The sequence below is a fragment of the Homo sapiens genome, chromosome 9 (genome assembly GCF_000001405.40).
Source record: "Homo sapiens chromosome 9, GRCh38.p14 Primary Assembly".
In the NCBI taxonomy this organism is placed as follows: Eukaryota; Metazoa; Chordata; class Mammalia; order Primates; family Hominidae; genus Homo; species Homo sapiens.
Genome location: NC_000009.12, coordinates 110,343,781 through 110,358,335, shown reverse-complemented (window position 1 = coordinate 110,358,335; position 14,555 = coordinate 110,343,781). Strand labels below are relative to the sequence as shown.

At 41.8% G+C, this 14,555-nt stretch overlaps 2 annotated features.

The window, feature by feature from the left end:
• Positions 974-1,143: an enhancer, noted in NCBI's record as "experimental_104925 CRE fragment used in MPRA reporter constructs". NCBI's record gives its function as "activates a minimal promoter by MPRAs in K562 erythroleukemia cells, with activity observed for both the introgressed and non-introgressed 9:113119558 variant alleles {active_cell/tissue: K562}" and the evidence as "EXISTENCE:reporter gene assay evidence [ECO:0000049][PMID:34662402]".
• Positions 1,925-2,094: an enhancer, noted in NCBI's record as "experimental_104913 CRE fragment used in MPRA reporter constructs". NCBI's record gives its function as "activates a minimal promoter by MPRAs in K562 erythroleukemia cells, with activity observed for both the introgressed and non-introgressed 9:113118607 variant alleles {active_cell/tissue: K562}" and the evidence as "EXISTENCE:reporter gene assay evidence [ECO:0000049][PMID:34662402]".

The following is a 14,555-nucleotide window of genomic DNA, read 5'->3' as shown; positions in this document are numbered from 1 at the left end:
AAAAAGAAGAGCAGACACATTGCACTGCAGCTACATGTTCCCAGCTGTAAGAATCAGCAGGCAAAGCCACTTAAAATACATGCTCCTGGGTGCAACATTTCTGGGCTCTTAAGTTTTGTGAAGCAAGACAACCGACTTTAAAAAGATACACAAGGCCGGGAGCAGTGGCTCACGCCTGTAATCCCAGCACTTTGGGAGGCCGAGGTGGGCAGATCACGAGATCAGGAGATCGAGACCACAGAGAAACCCCGTCTCGACTAAAGAAAAATACAAAAAATTAGCCGGGTGCGGTGGCGGGCGCCTGTAATCCCAGCTACTCAGGAGGCTGAGGCAGGAGAATGGTGTGAACCTGGGAGGCGGAGCTTGCAGTGAGCCGAGATCGTGCCACTGCACTCCAGCCTGGGCGACAGAGCGAGACTCCGTCTCAAAAAAAAAAAAAAGACACACAAAGATATAGGCTGTCTGGGTGTTTCTAAGAGTTACAGTACAAACTGCTGTCTCTCTGGAGGAACTGCTGATCACACCCACTCCTTGCAGACATCATTTTCAAGTGAGTTCTCTCCACCCTCCTAAGTCCTGACCTGTCTAATTACAATGCCGAATCCTCAGCCTTCTGAATCATGCACATTCCACCTTTCATTATGTCCCCCTGGATCTTTTTACCTTCCCAGCAGTGGTCAAGCTAGTTTATGTTTCTGTAAGTTAAAGTGTATCCTATCAGCAAGGGCAATAAAGAGAAAACTGACAAACCAGAAAAACCTGCAAGAATGGATTAAGGTAAAGACCACAAAAAAGTAGCAAAAGCTACCCACGTGCATTTCTCAATCATACCACATTCTTCACAAGAGCGATGACTGAGAATCTATAGATCATACGTTCAAATGGGGAAATACTTCCAAAATCTTTATTACATACCTTATAGTTTGCATTCTGCTTTGTAATTTAAAATATATTTTCTCTTACACTATCTCATAAATTGTGGGAACTAAAAACTATGTGGATGCCTAATATGTAACAATGGCTGAATAAATGTCAGTGTCCCTTTCTCTGCTCAACCTTTCTTCAATCTGTCTCAGCGAATTCTGCAAAGCTTCCTCTTCTTTCCATTTAAGAAACCTGAGGCACAGAAAAGCAATGACCTGGAAATTACAGCCTAACACCTGAGACCCAAGGCTGGGGCTCAGAGCAGTCAGTCACAACACCCTTTCCAGAGAATGAACCTTAGCTAGGCCATGTCCCTGGCATTTTCAACACCACGTAAGCTTTATAACTATGGTGGTTTATTATTACAGTCTATGTTTCTGGTGTTTGCAAAAAAAAAAAAAAAAAAGTGTTCCTAATCACAAAGTAGTGTTGGTTTATGTGAGAATTCCACCAAATAACTTTAGGCTATGTTTAAAAGACAGCGCAAAATGTTCCATAAGTCATAATTGCAACATTGAGAAGACCTCATGATGAACAGCTTTCAGTTCTCTGAATACACCACGTTCTCTTCTTGAGGCCTTTGCACAAGTTATCTCCTTTACCACTGCCACTTCCCTTTACTCCCAGTTCTCACCTAACCCTACCATCATACTCACCATCCCCCACCCTATTTTTTCTACCATTTGTTCTTGAGTTCTCAGATGCTGTTGACTTTGCCCTAAACCTCCATCCCCACTCCAAGTCCAGCTTTTATAGGGTGCTGGGAGAATGCACTCTGCTCTTTCCCATTCCAGGGTTCCTTTGAGCCAACAATGCCCATGAGTAGAACCAAGAAGTATTAGTCTGTTCTCACATTGCTACAAAGAACTACCTGAGGCTGGGAAAGGTGGCTCATGCCTGTAATCCTAGCACTTTGGCAGCCCAACACAGGAGGATCACGAGGTCAGGAGTTCGAGACCAGCCTAACCAAGATGATGAAACCCCATCTTTACTAAAAATACAAAATTAGCCAGGCATGGTGGCATGTGCCTGTAATCTCAGCTACTCGGGATGCTGAGGCAGGAGAATCGCTTGAACCTGGGAGACGGAGGTTGCAGTGAGCTGAGATTGCGTCACTGCACTCCAGCCTGGACAACAGAGTGAGACTCCATCTCCAAAAAATAAAAGAAAATAAAACAACTACCTGAGACTGGGTAATTTATAAAGAAAAGAGGTTTAATTGGCTTTCGGTTCTGTAGGCTGTACAGGAAGTATGGCTGAGGAGGCCTGGGGAAATTTACAATCATGGCAGAAGGCAAAGGGGAAGCAGGCCCATCTTACATAACTGGAGAAGGAGGAAGAGAGAGAAGGGGCAGGGGCTACACACTTAAACAACCAAATCTCATGAGAACTCACTCACTAGCACAAGAAAAGCAAGTGGGAAGCTTGCCTCCATAATCTAGTTACCTCCCACCAGGCCCCTTCTCCAACACTGGGGATTACAATTTGACATGAGATTTGGGTGGAGACAGAAATCCAAACCATATCAGAAGCCAATGTGGACATCAACTATAGAATGAATATACTGTGTGTGTGTGACATTGAGATCCAAAAGAAGTGTGACAGATCAGATATATCCAGAAGCACTCTTAAACCCAAACACACACACACACTTGCCACAAACATTTTGTCCTTATCAGAATAGTTTGACTTTGATGTTAAGCCACTACCCAGCTTGCTATACTTGAACCTTGAGTAGGTCCAAAAATACAGAAATAAAACCCAGAAACCTCTCATTATGGTGCAAGATGATGCTCATGTTAATAGAATAGATTATTGGGTGCTAAGGTGTCTCCAGGAGGAGTGAAAGGTACAACAGCTGTGGTTGATTCTTCACTCTACACAGGCTGCTGAGATCATCAAACTTTGATAACCCCACGTGGTAGAACTAGGGAGGCAACAGGAAGACACACCCACTCATTTGTATTCTTGATATCATGGAAATCACCATTCTAATATTTTGCTAGTTTGGTAGTAAACTAAAGGAAAAGCCAATTTATACAAGTCAGAGTCTTCCTTCTCCCTAGTTTAAGAAGCAGCACCAATCTTTGTGGTCTGGTCCAGCTGAAGTAGTCTAGCATCACAAACCATACCCACCTCCAAGGTGAAGCTAACTAGACCACAGGTAGTTGTTCTTCAGACTATATTTACTTTATGCTTTATACTTTGAGACAGTTGAATACAGTTCTAATTTACAGTTCCTATAAGACAACCAGGGTATAAAAGTGCCCAATGGAGGAATAAGAATGAGACATTGAACTCTACAGAAACCTATTGTTATTTCTTGTTCCCATCCTCTTGTACTAAAAAAATTGCAAATCATTCTGAATAGTTCCATCTGGTTTCTCGCCTCATTTCACCTTCTGATATATGGCACACCTGAACTCCCAACTTGTTTCCTTTCCTCCCTGCTGCCTTTCCCTCCTCCTGTATAGTAAACCTTTTTTCTGATCTCCCCCTGACCAATAGGTGCCCTTCCACAATGGTTCCAGGGTTAGCCCATGGCAGACATTTATCATTTGCCTGTCTCTCTTCCTCCTTGAAGACAAGCATTATATTTTTTCACCAATGTATACTTGGTAATACTTGACATGTAGTAAACGCTCAATAAATGCTGAGGAAAGAATGAAATAATAGAGACTGATGAGAGAAGAAAAGCTTTTAAACAATTTCAAAAAGCATTTAGGAGGCTAGGTGCGGTGGCTCACGCCTATAATCCCAGCACTTTGGGAGGCCAAGGCAGGCAGATCACCTGAGGTCAGGAGTTTCAGAACAGCCTGTCCAACATGGTGAAACCCCATCTCTACTAAAAATACAAAATTATCCCAGCATGGTGGCAGGCACCTGTAATCCCAGCTACTTGGGAGGCTAAGGCAGGAGAATGGTTTGAACCCTGCAAGCGGAGGTTGCAGTGAGCCGAGACCGCTCCATTAAACTCCAGCCTGGGCAACAAGAGCAAAACTCTGTCTAAAAAAATATATACATATATATTTAGGGAAGGTCCCAGGAATACAGTGTCATAAAAAACAATACAATATTTTACATGTTTCTGTACATGTACATATACACATATATATACATTTTTTCACAGAGGAAAACAACCTAAGTTTTCAATTCTGTTTTCATCATTTGCCTTTCTAAAGTCAAAGACAGAAAAACACTGAAAGATAAAATGAGCAGTTACCTTGAAGACTGGGTTGGTTCAGAGGGCGCCTGAGAAAAGTTTAGCACATACGACATCCAAATGAGTTTTTGGAAGGCATTCAGTAATGACAAATGACGTTGATCAAAGAAAAAGCATGAATCAGAATTCAAGAGTTACTTGCTCAGCCCTCCTGAGCAAAATGACCATCTTACCCCTCAATTTGTGAATTTTTACCGTGCACTTCCTCAACAGGACTCACCTGGGCACATGCTGGGTCAGCTCTATCATTGCCAGGTGTTTGTTTTAAAATCTACTTTGGGTCTTTAATCTTAAAAATAAAGTTATACTGCATGTGCTGTTTATAAAAACTATTCATTTTATTTATATTTCCTAACAGCCTAAATTGCTCATAAGAAAGGTTTTGTGTTTTTGCAAATATGGCCTAAATAGGTCTGAGAGGAAGTACTATCTACTTCTAGTCAACACAAAAGAAGTAAAAGTTTTTCCATTAAATCACATTTATTAATCAGGAAAAACTGAACAAAGACTGGGTATTAGATGAATATTTGGAATTATTGTTAATGCCTTTGGTTGGAATAATTTTGATTATTTTTAAGATCTTGTATATTAGATAACTATACTGAAGTATTTACTAGTGAGATTATGTAAATGCTTGGATTTGCTTTCAAATCCCCCCAAAAGAAAAAAGTGTATAAGGAGATGGGGAAGGTGAATATAGCCAAAGCAAGCGCAGCAAAATATTGATAATAGCTGAGTAAGGAGTAGATGGGAGTTCAGCATATGCTCCTCTCTACTTTTGTGTATGCTGGAAATTTTCTACAACCAAAAAATTTGTTTAAACCACATTTACTGACTATGAGGTAATGAGCCTTGTGTCGATATTCATGAATCTTGGAGTAAATACATTGACTATTCAGTCCACAAATATGCAAATGCATGGTATCTAGGAAACCCATGGTCTGCAATTATAGAATATTAAGATGAATCCTTTCTTAAAAAGACAATGTATCTGGCTTGCTCTTCTTTTTTTTTTTTTTTTGAGACAGAGTCTCACTCTGTTGCCTAGTCTGAAGCGCAATGGCGTGATCTCAGCTCACTGCAACCTCTGCCTTCCAGGTTCAAATGATTCTCCTGCCTCAGCCTCCTGAGTAGCTGGGATTACAGGCATGTGCCATCACGTCTGGCCAATTTTTGTATTTTTAGTAGAGATGGGTTTTCGCCATGTTGACCAGGCTGGTCTCAAACTCCTGACCTCAAGTGATCCACCCGCCTTGGCCTACCAAAGTGCTGGGATTACAGGTGCCCGGCCTCAGGGCTTTTATTAATATGTAAGATCCCTGAACTTAGTTGCTTTATCCTTCAGGCTCTGCATCACTTTACACACATCTCTATCAAAGCACTTTTTTCTTTATATCATGGCTAGTTTACGTGTCTGAATTGCTTTGATAGCAAGGTTTATTTCTCATGGATGGGTGCAGTGATTAAAAGCACAAGCTCTGGAATTTGACTGCCCATATCCAAACCCTGGTCCTTCCCTTTACTAGCCACGTGATTTGGATGCCTCTTTCCTCATTTGTGTAATGGAAGCAATAATAGGGCCCACTCTTACTGATGTTGCTGTAAGGATTAAGGGGTCTCACAAACAATAAGTACGCACACAAACTTATGAATTTTATGCTTTAGTGTCCTTAAAAGAAAGGCCAATATTGAGAGATGTACTCTGTCAAGCCCTTGGAACTGAACTTGAAGAATACTCTTGTCCTTGCCCTGCTGTGCTGTGCTATCAATTTGCCAAGACAATCTATTTTCCTATAACTTACCCACCTGGTGTCCCTGCTGTCAACACAATACCAGTGACTCTCCCAGTGGAATTTTACAGGCTTGGTGTTGAGGATTCTTACTCAGGTATTAAAATAAAGCCTTGGGGATTAATAAACTCTTGACAGAGTCAGCTCACCATATTCTCAGAGCAGTGTCTAGGTAGCAGTTAGACTTAAACATAAATCACAAAATTCAACAGAGTTAAGCTATTTAACTTACTGTTTTATTCATCCAATATAAATATAATATGCATTTTGCATATCTTAACATCTCTGAAATTGGAATGCATCTTACAATAGCATGGCGTAGTATGATTGGCAATTTAATGATTTATCTTACAAACATGATATCTTAGGTTCAGCAAGAACTGATAAGATTAAATCTTTGCTGGGCGCAGTGGCTCATGCCTGGTGGCCCAGCACTTTGGAAGGCCAAGGTGGGTGGATCACCTGAGGTCAGGAGTTCAAGACAAGTCTGGCCAACATAGTGAAACCCTGTCTACTAAAAATACAAAAAATTAGCTGGGCATGGTGGCGGGTGCCTGTAATCCCAGCTACTCAGGGGGCTGAGGCAGGAGAATCACTTGAACCCAGGAAGCAGAGGTTGCAGTGAGCTGAGATCGTGCCATTGCACTTCAGACTGGGCAACAGAGTGAGACGCTGTCTCAAAATAAAAAATTTAAAAAAAAAAGAAAGAAAAAAAGATTAAATCTTCAGAACCTGGCATTGTATCAATATAATATTTGGCATATGGAAACCTACAGGCTTAGGCAAATTACTGGCCAAAGACTCAGCGGTTTTTTTCTCTACCCAGAAATAGAGTATTTTCCAGGTCTGTGAAAAGCCTTATGGTGTTTTTCTCTAGGGCTATGTTCTCAAAGCCCTGCTGTTTCTAACAAAAAATGATCATCAAGATAAAAAAACAACATATGAGCTCTTTGAAAACCTGAGCCTTGATTTGAGAAAGGCTCTTTCCTAAGTGTCATCGTTTTGGTTTGTATGAGTCATTGTAGAATGCCACTCTAGATCTTAACAAGTCCTCTCCAACCCCCACCCCATTGGTTTCCCTAATAGCTGAGTGGAGAATATAAAAAGGAGGAGTTGGCTAGATCCAGCTTCTTCCCTGCTAAGATGCCTCTTATAATAGAGTCTTTCCCTTTCATACATTTAAACTTCCTTCTCCACCCAATATCAGCCTTGTCATCAAGCTCCCTGGTGATTCACATCCACAGGCACTGGAGGCCTGTCTTTTTTGGCAGCAATATCTAGGCTACACCCTACACCCTTACTTTGCCTTCCTATTGCTGATATGATAATTTCTCCTGTTTTTCCTGGTATGATGACCTTCAGCTTGACATGCTCTCCCAGGAAATGTGTCCTTCCCCAAAGCAGCTTCAGCAGTAAGAATCTTAACTAGTCAGTATCCTTGACAGCACAAGTCTCTGCAATGTTGTGACCAGAGGAGGAAAAGGCATTAGTAAAGTCCTTAAGATCCTTAAGGACCAGGGCCTCTCTTGATTTTCACATTTTACAAATGAGGCTCAGAGGGTGAGGGACTTACCCAGAGTGACACCATCACTTCTAAGAGAGTGAAGAACAGAACCTTGGCCATCACCTCCAGCCCTTCCTTCAGGAGGATGTGCTTCTTCCCTCAGTTTAGATTCTCCCCAATCACAGTCTCAAAAACAGCAGATAAATTGCAATCCTGGACAGCTATCATGCTCTTTGTAATCTTTCCGGATTATAATAAAAGGGTATGAGAATGCACTGGACATCACTGTCATAATACAAAAGGTGGTGACTCTATAAGTGTAGCAGCATGCTTGGAAGTAGAGCTTGAAGGTACATGTGCATATGACTTTATTTAAGATTAAGAAAGAATCAGTTGTCTGCATTGAAGCATGGAGGGTATGTGGAAAGGGTAACAGCATGACCCAACCTATGTCCTTGGCATCCTCACTCAACCAGGCAATAGGTTCCTCATCTTTGACCCTTTGGATGCCTTCCCCATTTGGAGATCTTCCCTGACTAGGTCCCTTTATCATCCATTCTTTATGGTAAAATTATATGACATTGACTTGGGGATGAACTCTCCTTTCCCATGCTAGCAAACATCTTGGCTGCATTCCCTTTTGAACAAAAACACATGGGAACACACACACACACAATCCCAAAAAGTTTCAATAATTTTGTCTCAAATAAAGGCAAGAAACCAAAACTTAACAGGCTTAGTAATAGTTGGGAGTAAAAAGAATCTGGCATTTGCCCCTCTTATTCCAACTTAGTCCTCTTGCTCTCCAGAAAAGTAGGAGGCCTCCCTGCCCAGACGATCGTGATGTTCCCTCATAGATGTTCCCTAAAATCAAGGAGAGAGGCCCAGTCCAAGTCCCCCCTTCTCTCCTCTTCCCATTTTCCTTTCAACATTTCTTTTCCTCCAGAAGTCTCCACCTCTCTCCAGCTCTGGATCCTTAACATGAGACATCTCTGCAATCTGTGTTGTGAAGTGACTTTTGACATTTGTTGTCACTGTCCTTCCCTGCCAGGAATCCATGTCCCTGCAGTTGTCCTGTGCTCAACATACTGGCTTATGACATGCTACTAAGGAAAAAGAAGCCCTTTTCCCACCCACTCATTGTTGCAGCAGTGTAGCACGATGATCACCAAGGATCACGGCTCACATTCCCAACATCTTATGAGGAGTGTGTGTGGGGAGGGTGTGGTGGCTTACACCTGGAATCCCAGCACTTTTGGAGGCTGAGATGGGAGGATCATTTGAGCCCAGGAGTTCAAGACCAGCCTAGGCAACATAATGAGCCCCCCATCTCTGCAAGTAATAAATAATTTTTTTAAAAAACTAGCCGGGAATGGTGGCATGCACCTGTTGTCATAGCGACTCAGGAGGCTGACTTGGGATTGCTCAAGCCCAGGCAGTCAAGGCTGCAGTAAGCCATGATCATGCCACTGCACTCCAGCCTGGGCAACAGAGCGAGACCCCATCTCAAAAAACCAAAAAGTGGTAATATAATCTCCTCCGCATGTCTACATTGGCTTTGCTTCTTGTTTTGTCTTTTTTTCTTGGGGAGAGGGGAATTGAGGGCAGAAAGAAAGGAAAGCAGCTAGGGAAGTGATAGAGGGAAAGGAGTGCAAAAGATTTTGATCAAGCACCAAACTGTTTCCAAGTGACAGGGCTGGGTGATTAAGCACCAACTACAGGACCAAGAACTGCTCCCACAAGGTGTTTGTGTTTCCAGAATTCATATTAGGCAAGCCAGGAATCACAGGCCCTGTGCCTTTCCCACATCCTGCAGCACATGCCGTACACTCTGGTAGAATTCTCGATTACAGCAAATGTCCCAAGGAGCATCATTCAAAAAGTAACAGTGGTAAAAGTCTAGAAAGTCACAAGCGATTGAGCTACATACCTGATCATCAAAGAGCTTCTAGAAAATTGGACTCACATACACTAAAATCTACCTCTTCTATGACCCAAACACTTCTTTTACTTGTTTCACATCACATGTGAAAAAGTGTGGATTGAGACCCCCCCACACACACACCAAAAAAAAGAGAGAAGGTAGCTTAGCTAAGGAGCTATGTGCTCTAAATCTTCTATTTGAGTTGTTTTGCTTTTATCATGAAATAGCATTATCAAAATCCAGAAGAGGATTTTTCCTAGACAGGCCAAAGGGAAACTCTGTTTCAGTAAACTTCAGACCTGGGTTCTACCTAACTTCTAAATGTCTTAACTCTGTCATTCATCTTTAGGCCCTAGTATAGGTGCACAGTGACAGTTGGCTTAGTATTAAATGAATGAGAATCACAATCTCATGCATTTGTGGAGCACTTCATTGCTTTCAAAGCCAGTTTCTCTTTTTATTTTTACCTCACAACAACTCAGTAAGTTAGGTAGGCCAAGTCATCTAATCCCCACTTTTTTTTTTTTTGAGACAGAGTCTTGCTCTGTTGCCAGGCTGAAGTGCAGTGGTGCGATCTCAGCTCACTGCAACCTTCACCTCCCGGGTTCAAGCAATTCCCCTGCCTCAGCCTCCTGAGTAGCTGGGACTACAGGCACCCGCCACCACACCCAGCTAATTTTTTTGTATTTTAGTAGAGATGGGGTTTCACCATGTTGGCCAGGATGGTCTCCTGACCTCGTAATCCACCCTCCTCGGCCTCCAAAAGTGCTGGGATTACAGGCATGAGCCACTGTGCCCGGCCCTATCCTTATTTTTATAAATCACAGTGTTTAGGTTTAAAGCAATAAGAGGTCATGGTATCCTCTGAGGAACAACATGATCTACTGGCACTTTAAATTAGATAGCAACTTAAATTGTAGATTCTGGGGCAGGCAATGTCTGACTACAGGTCAGGCAGAAACCATGCGGACTATTGGTGGGTATATTAGTCAAAGTTCTCTGGACAAACAGAACTGATTGTGTGTGTGTGTGTGTGTGTGTGTGTGTGTGTGTGTGTGTGTGTGTGTGTGTGTGTTTATTATGAGGAATTGGCTCATAGGATTATGGAGGTTAAGTTCCACAATCTACCATCTCAAGCTATAGGCTCAGAAAAGCCGGTGGTATAATTCAGTCCAAGTCCAAAGGCTAAAAACCAAAGGAGCTGATGGTATAAATCCCTGTCCCAGAATACAGATTAGATGAGATATTCAGTTGCCACAGTGAGACAGGAAAAAAAAGGGGTGAACTCCTCCTTCTGCTTTTTTTTCTATTCAGGCACTCAATGGATTAGATGGTGCCCAATCAAATGGGAAAGGCGATCTACTTGACTGAGTCCACAGAGTGAAATGTTCATCTCATCCAGAAACACCTTCACAGACACGCCTAGAAATGATATTTAATCTGGGCATGTTAGCAGCAGAACACCTCAATTCAATTAAAGAAACACCTGTGCTCTGGAGAAGCATGGTTTCAGACCAACGCCTGTAAGTGAAAATACTGATTCATAAGGGATTAAGTGGCTTTCTCACGGTCACACAAGTAATCAGTAACATAGTCAGAGTTCAATCCTTTTTCCATGAGACCAAGTAGCCTCTTGAAATTTAGTTAGCATGAAAATCATTTTTTTTTTTTTTTTGAGACAGAGTCTCACTCTCACCCAGGCTGCAGTTCAGTGGTGCGATCTCAGCTTACCGCAACCTCCATCTCCTGGGTTCAAGCAATTCTCATGCCTCAGGCTCCTGAGTAGCTGGGACTACAGGCGCCTGCCACCATGTCTGGCTAATTTTTGTATTTTTAGTAGAGATGAGGTTTCACCATGTAGGCCAGGCTGATCTTGAACTCCTGATCTCAAGTGATCGGCTCGCCTCAGCTTTCCAAAGTTCTGGGATTACAGGCATGAGCCACTGCACCTGGCTAGCATGAAAATCTTAAAGATTGATTAATAATCTAGGAGATATAAAAGAAAAGTGATTGAAGTTCAAATGGCTCTAGAACTTCAATAGCGAAGCCATCTAACCCATCCCCCTCTTATCTATAGAATCACATGCAATTCTTCCCAATCTGGAATGACTGGAAGGTGCTCAGATAGGATTGTGTCACCTTATGATAAACCACTGTGTCCAACTTGATATGTAGTGATTCACATACTTATTTATGTCTCTAGGTATTTGTGTTCTCTTTGATTAACTATATATATATTAAATAGAGACAGGGTCTAGCTATGTTATCCAGGCTGGTCTCAAACTCCTGGCCTCAAGCAATCCTCCACAGCCTCAGCATCCCAAAGTGCTGGGTTTATAGGCATGAGCCACCATGCCCAGCGTGATTAAACTACATTTTAATCTAGGACGTGGACCATGAAACAAAGGCCTGTGGGCTAAATTCAGCCCAGTGCCTGTTTTGTAAATAAAGTTTTATGGGAACACAGCCATGCCTGTTTATTTATCTATTATCTATGGCCACTTTTGTGTGACTATCTGGCCCTTCACAGAAAAAGTGTGCTGACAGAGTTGTCATACAATTACTTTACTTTTTCTCTAATCATATTAGAGTCTATAGGTATGCCTTTCTTACAGCAATCCTACTTACATATAAACGCTGCATTTTTAATATGAGATAAAAAGGGAGTTTGCAAAAAGTGTAAAGTATTCATGCTTGCTGGCATAGCTGCAGTGATGACTTCAGAAATTTTGTTTTCTTTTTTTATAATTGTCCTTATGCTGGATTCATTTATCGTGAAATGGCAGGCAACCGCAGCTGCAGACCTCAATCTATGGTACATATCAAGCGATTCAGCTTTTTCTTGTAATGTCATGACTTTTCTCTGCTTCTTGGGAGCACTTCCAGCATCACTAACGGCACTTCATATGCGTCCCATGGTGTTATTCAAGCTTTATAGTATTGCACTAAACACTATGAAAAATATGCAAGAACTGCCAGAGATCACATCTTACGGTGAGACACACTTTACTGGAGTGACAACACTCAGAGATGATGAGCATCTCACAGTGTTTTAAGAGAATACTTGTTAATACTTAAGCTCACCACAATGGCAACAGGAGATGGTTACAAAATTATTACAGTAGTACAGTTGTACTAAATTGATCTAATTTGTACTAAATTGTACTAAATGATCTAATACTGCATCTTTGCATTTGTTCATATTTCTCTGGACTATGAAACGTACCATGTGCGATCTGTTTGTGTATGTAAGTTTTGATAAATTTTAAGTTTTTATAATAGATTTGTGTCAGCCGGGTGCGGTGGCTCATGCTTGTAATCCCAGCACTTCGGGAGGCCGAGGTGGGTGGATCACCTGAGGTCAGGAGTTCGAGACCAGCCTAGCGAACATGGCAAAACCCTGTCTATACTGAAAATACAAAAATCAGCCGGGCGTGTTGACAGGCACCTGTAATCCCCGCTACACAGGAGGCTGAGGCAGGAGAATCGCTTGAACCCAGGAGGCAGAGGTTGCAGTGAGCCAAGATCATGCCACTGCACTCCAGCCTGGGTGACAAGAGCAAGGATCTGTCTTAAAAAAAAAAAAAAAAAAAAAAAAAAAAGACGTGTCTATTTTATGGTAGTAAATTATAAAATTGGTATTTATGTGTGTTTCTTGGATTCATGACATACCTTTTTCTTAATTTTTTTTATATTCCCAGGCTGCGCAGTTGGGCTTCAAGTTTTTTCAAATTGTCGCAAATTTCCAAAAATTTTTCTAAAATATTTATTGAAAAAAATCCACATAGAAGTAGACCCATACATTTCAAACCCATTTTGTTAAAGGGTCAACTGTATAGTAAATACATTCATCAGTAGCATAGTTGTTTGTCGCCATTATCGAGTATTCTGTGCTATACATAATTGTATGAGCTACATTTTGCAGATCTGGCAGCACGACATGTTTACAACAGCCTTGCCACAAACACGCAAGTAAAGTGTTAGCAGATGACAGGAATTCTAATCCTATGAGACCATTATCATATATTCGGTTTATCCCTGATGAACCAAATTTTCTTCAAAAACGTATATTCATCTTTTAATCAAATACATGTTATTTTAAAAACTATTTTGTGAAATGCTTAAACAAAAAAATAAACACTTTAAAATTATTTCCCTCCAGAGCTTTTTCTGCTACTGCTAAGTTTTTTTCTATACGATGGTATAATATTACTAAGCCACATTATCGTGCACAAGACAGATACAAGATACAGAATTGCGCAGGAATAGACTCTTACACTGATAATACATTATAAGTTCTGTCTACAAGCAATATGCATTTGGGGACCCTCTTTAATAATGCCATCTCTTAGCCCGGCATGGTGGTGCATGCCTGTAGTTCCAGCTACTCAGGAGGGTGAGGTGGGAGGATGGCTTGAGCCTGGGAGATTGAGGCTGCAGTGATGGGGCAACCTGCACATCAGCACCACTGCACAATGACGGCGCCACTGCACACCAGCCTGAGTGACAAAGCAAGACCCCATCAAATAAAATACATAAAATAAAAAATAAAATAATACCATCACACGTTTTTCTATCCTTTCCCAATAGTAGGCTGCTCCAATGAGGCAGTTTTCCTGAATTTATTACAGTGACTTTTTTTCTTGCTAAAACATTAAAACTTGATATTCTTTCTTAACGTTCTTGTCTCTATTCCTTGGTTTATGCAAGGGCACACTGAGGTTCATTTCCGTTTTCACGAAATATGTTTATTGAATCATTTTTTTTTAGATGGAGTCTCACTTTGTTGCCCAGGCTGGAGTGCAATGGCGCAACCTCAGCTCACTGCAATCTCCGCCTCCCGGGTTCAAGAGATTCTCCTGCCTCAGCCTCCTGAGTAGCTGGGATTACAGGTGCACGCCACTACACCCAGCTAATTTTTTTATTTTTAGTAGAGACGGGGTTTCACCATGTTGGTCAGGCTGGTCTCAAACTCCTGACCTCATGATCCACCTGCCTCGGCTTCCCAAAGTGCTGGGATTACAGGCGTGAGCCACCGTGCCTGGCCTGCTGAATCATTTTTCTAAACTGACCCACATGTAACAGCTCCCTTACTCTAAGTGCTTGTTTACTGCAGAGAGGCAGGCATTTCCCTGACCTCAGTCTCTGTCCCAGCATTTTTCATGCCTGAAGGAAAATCCAAGGACTTTT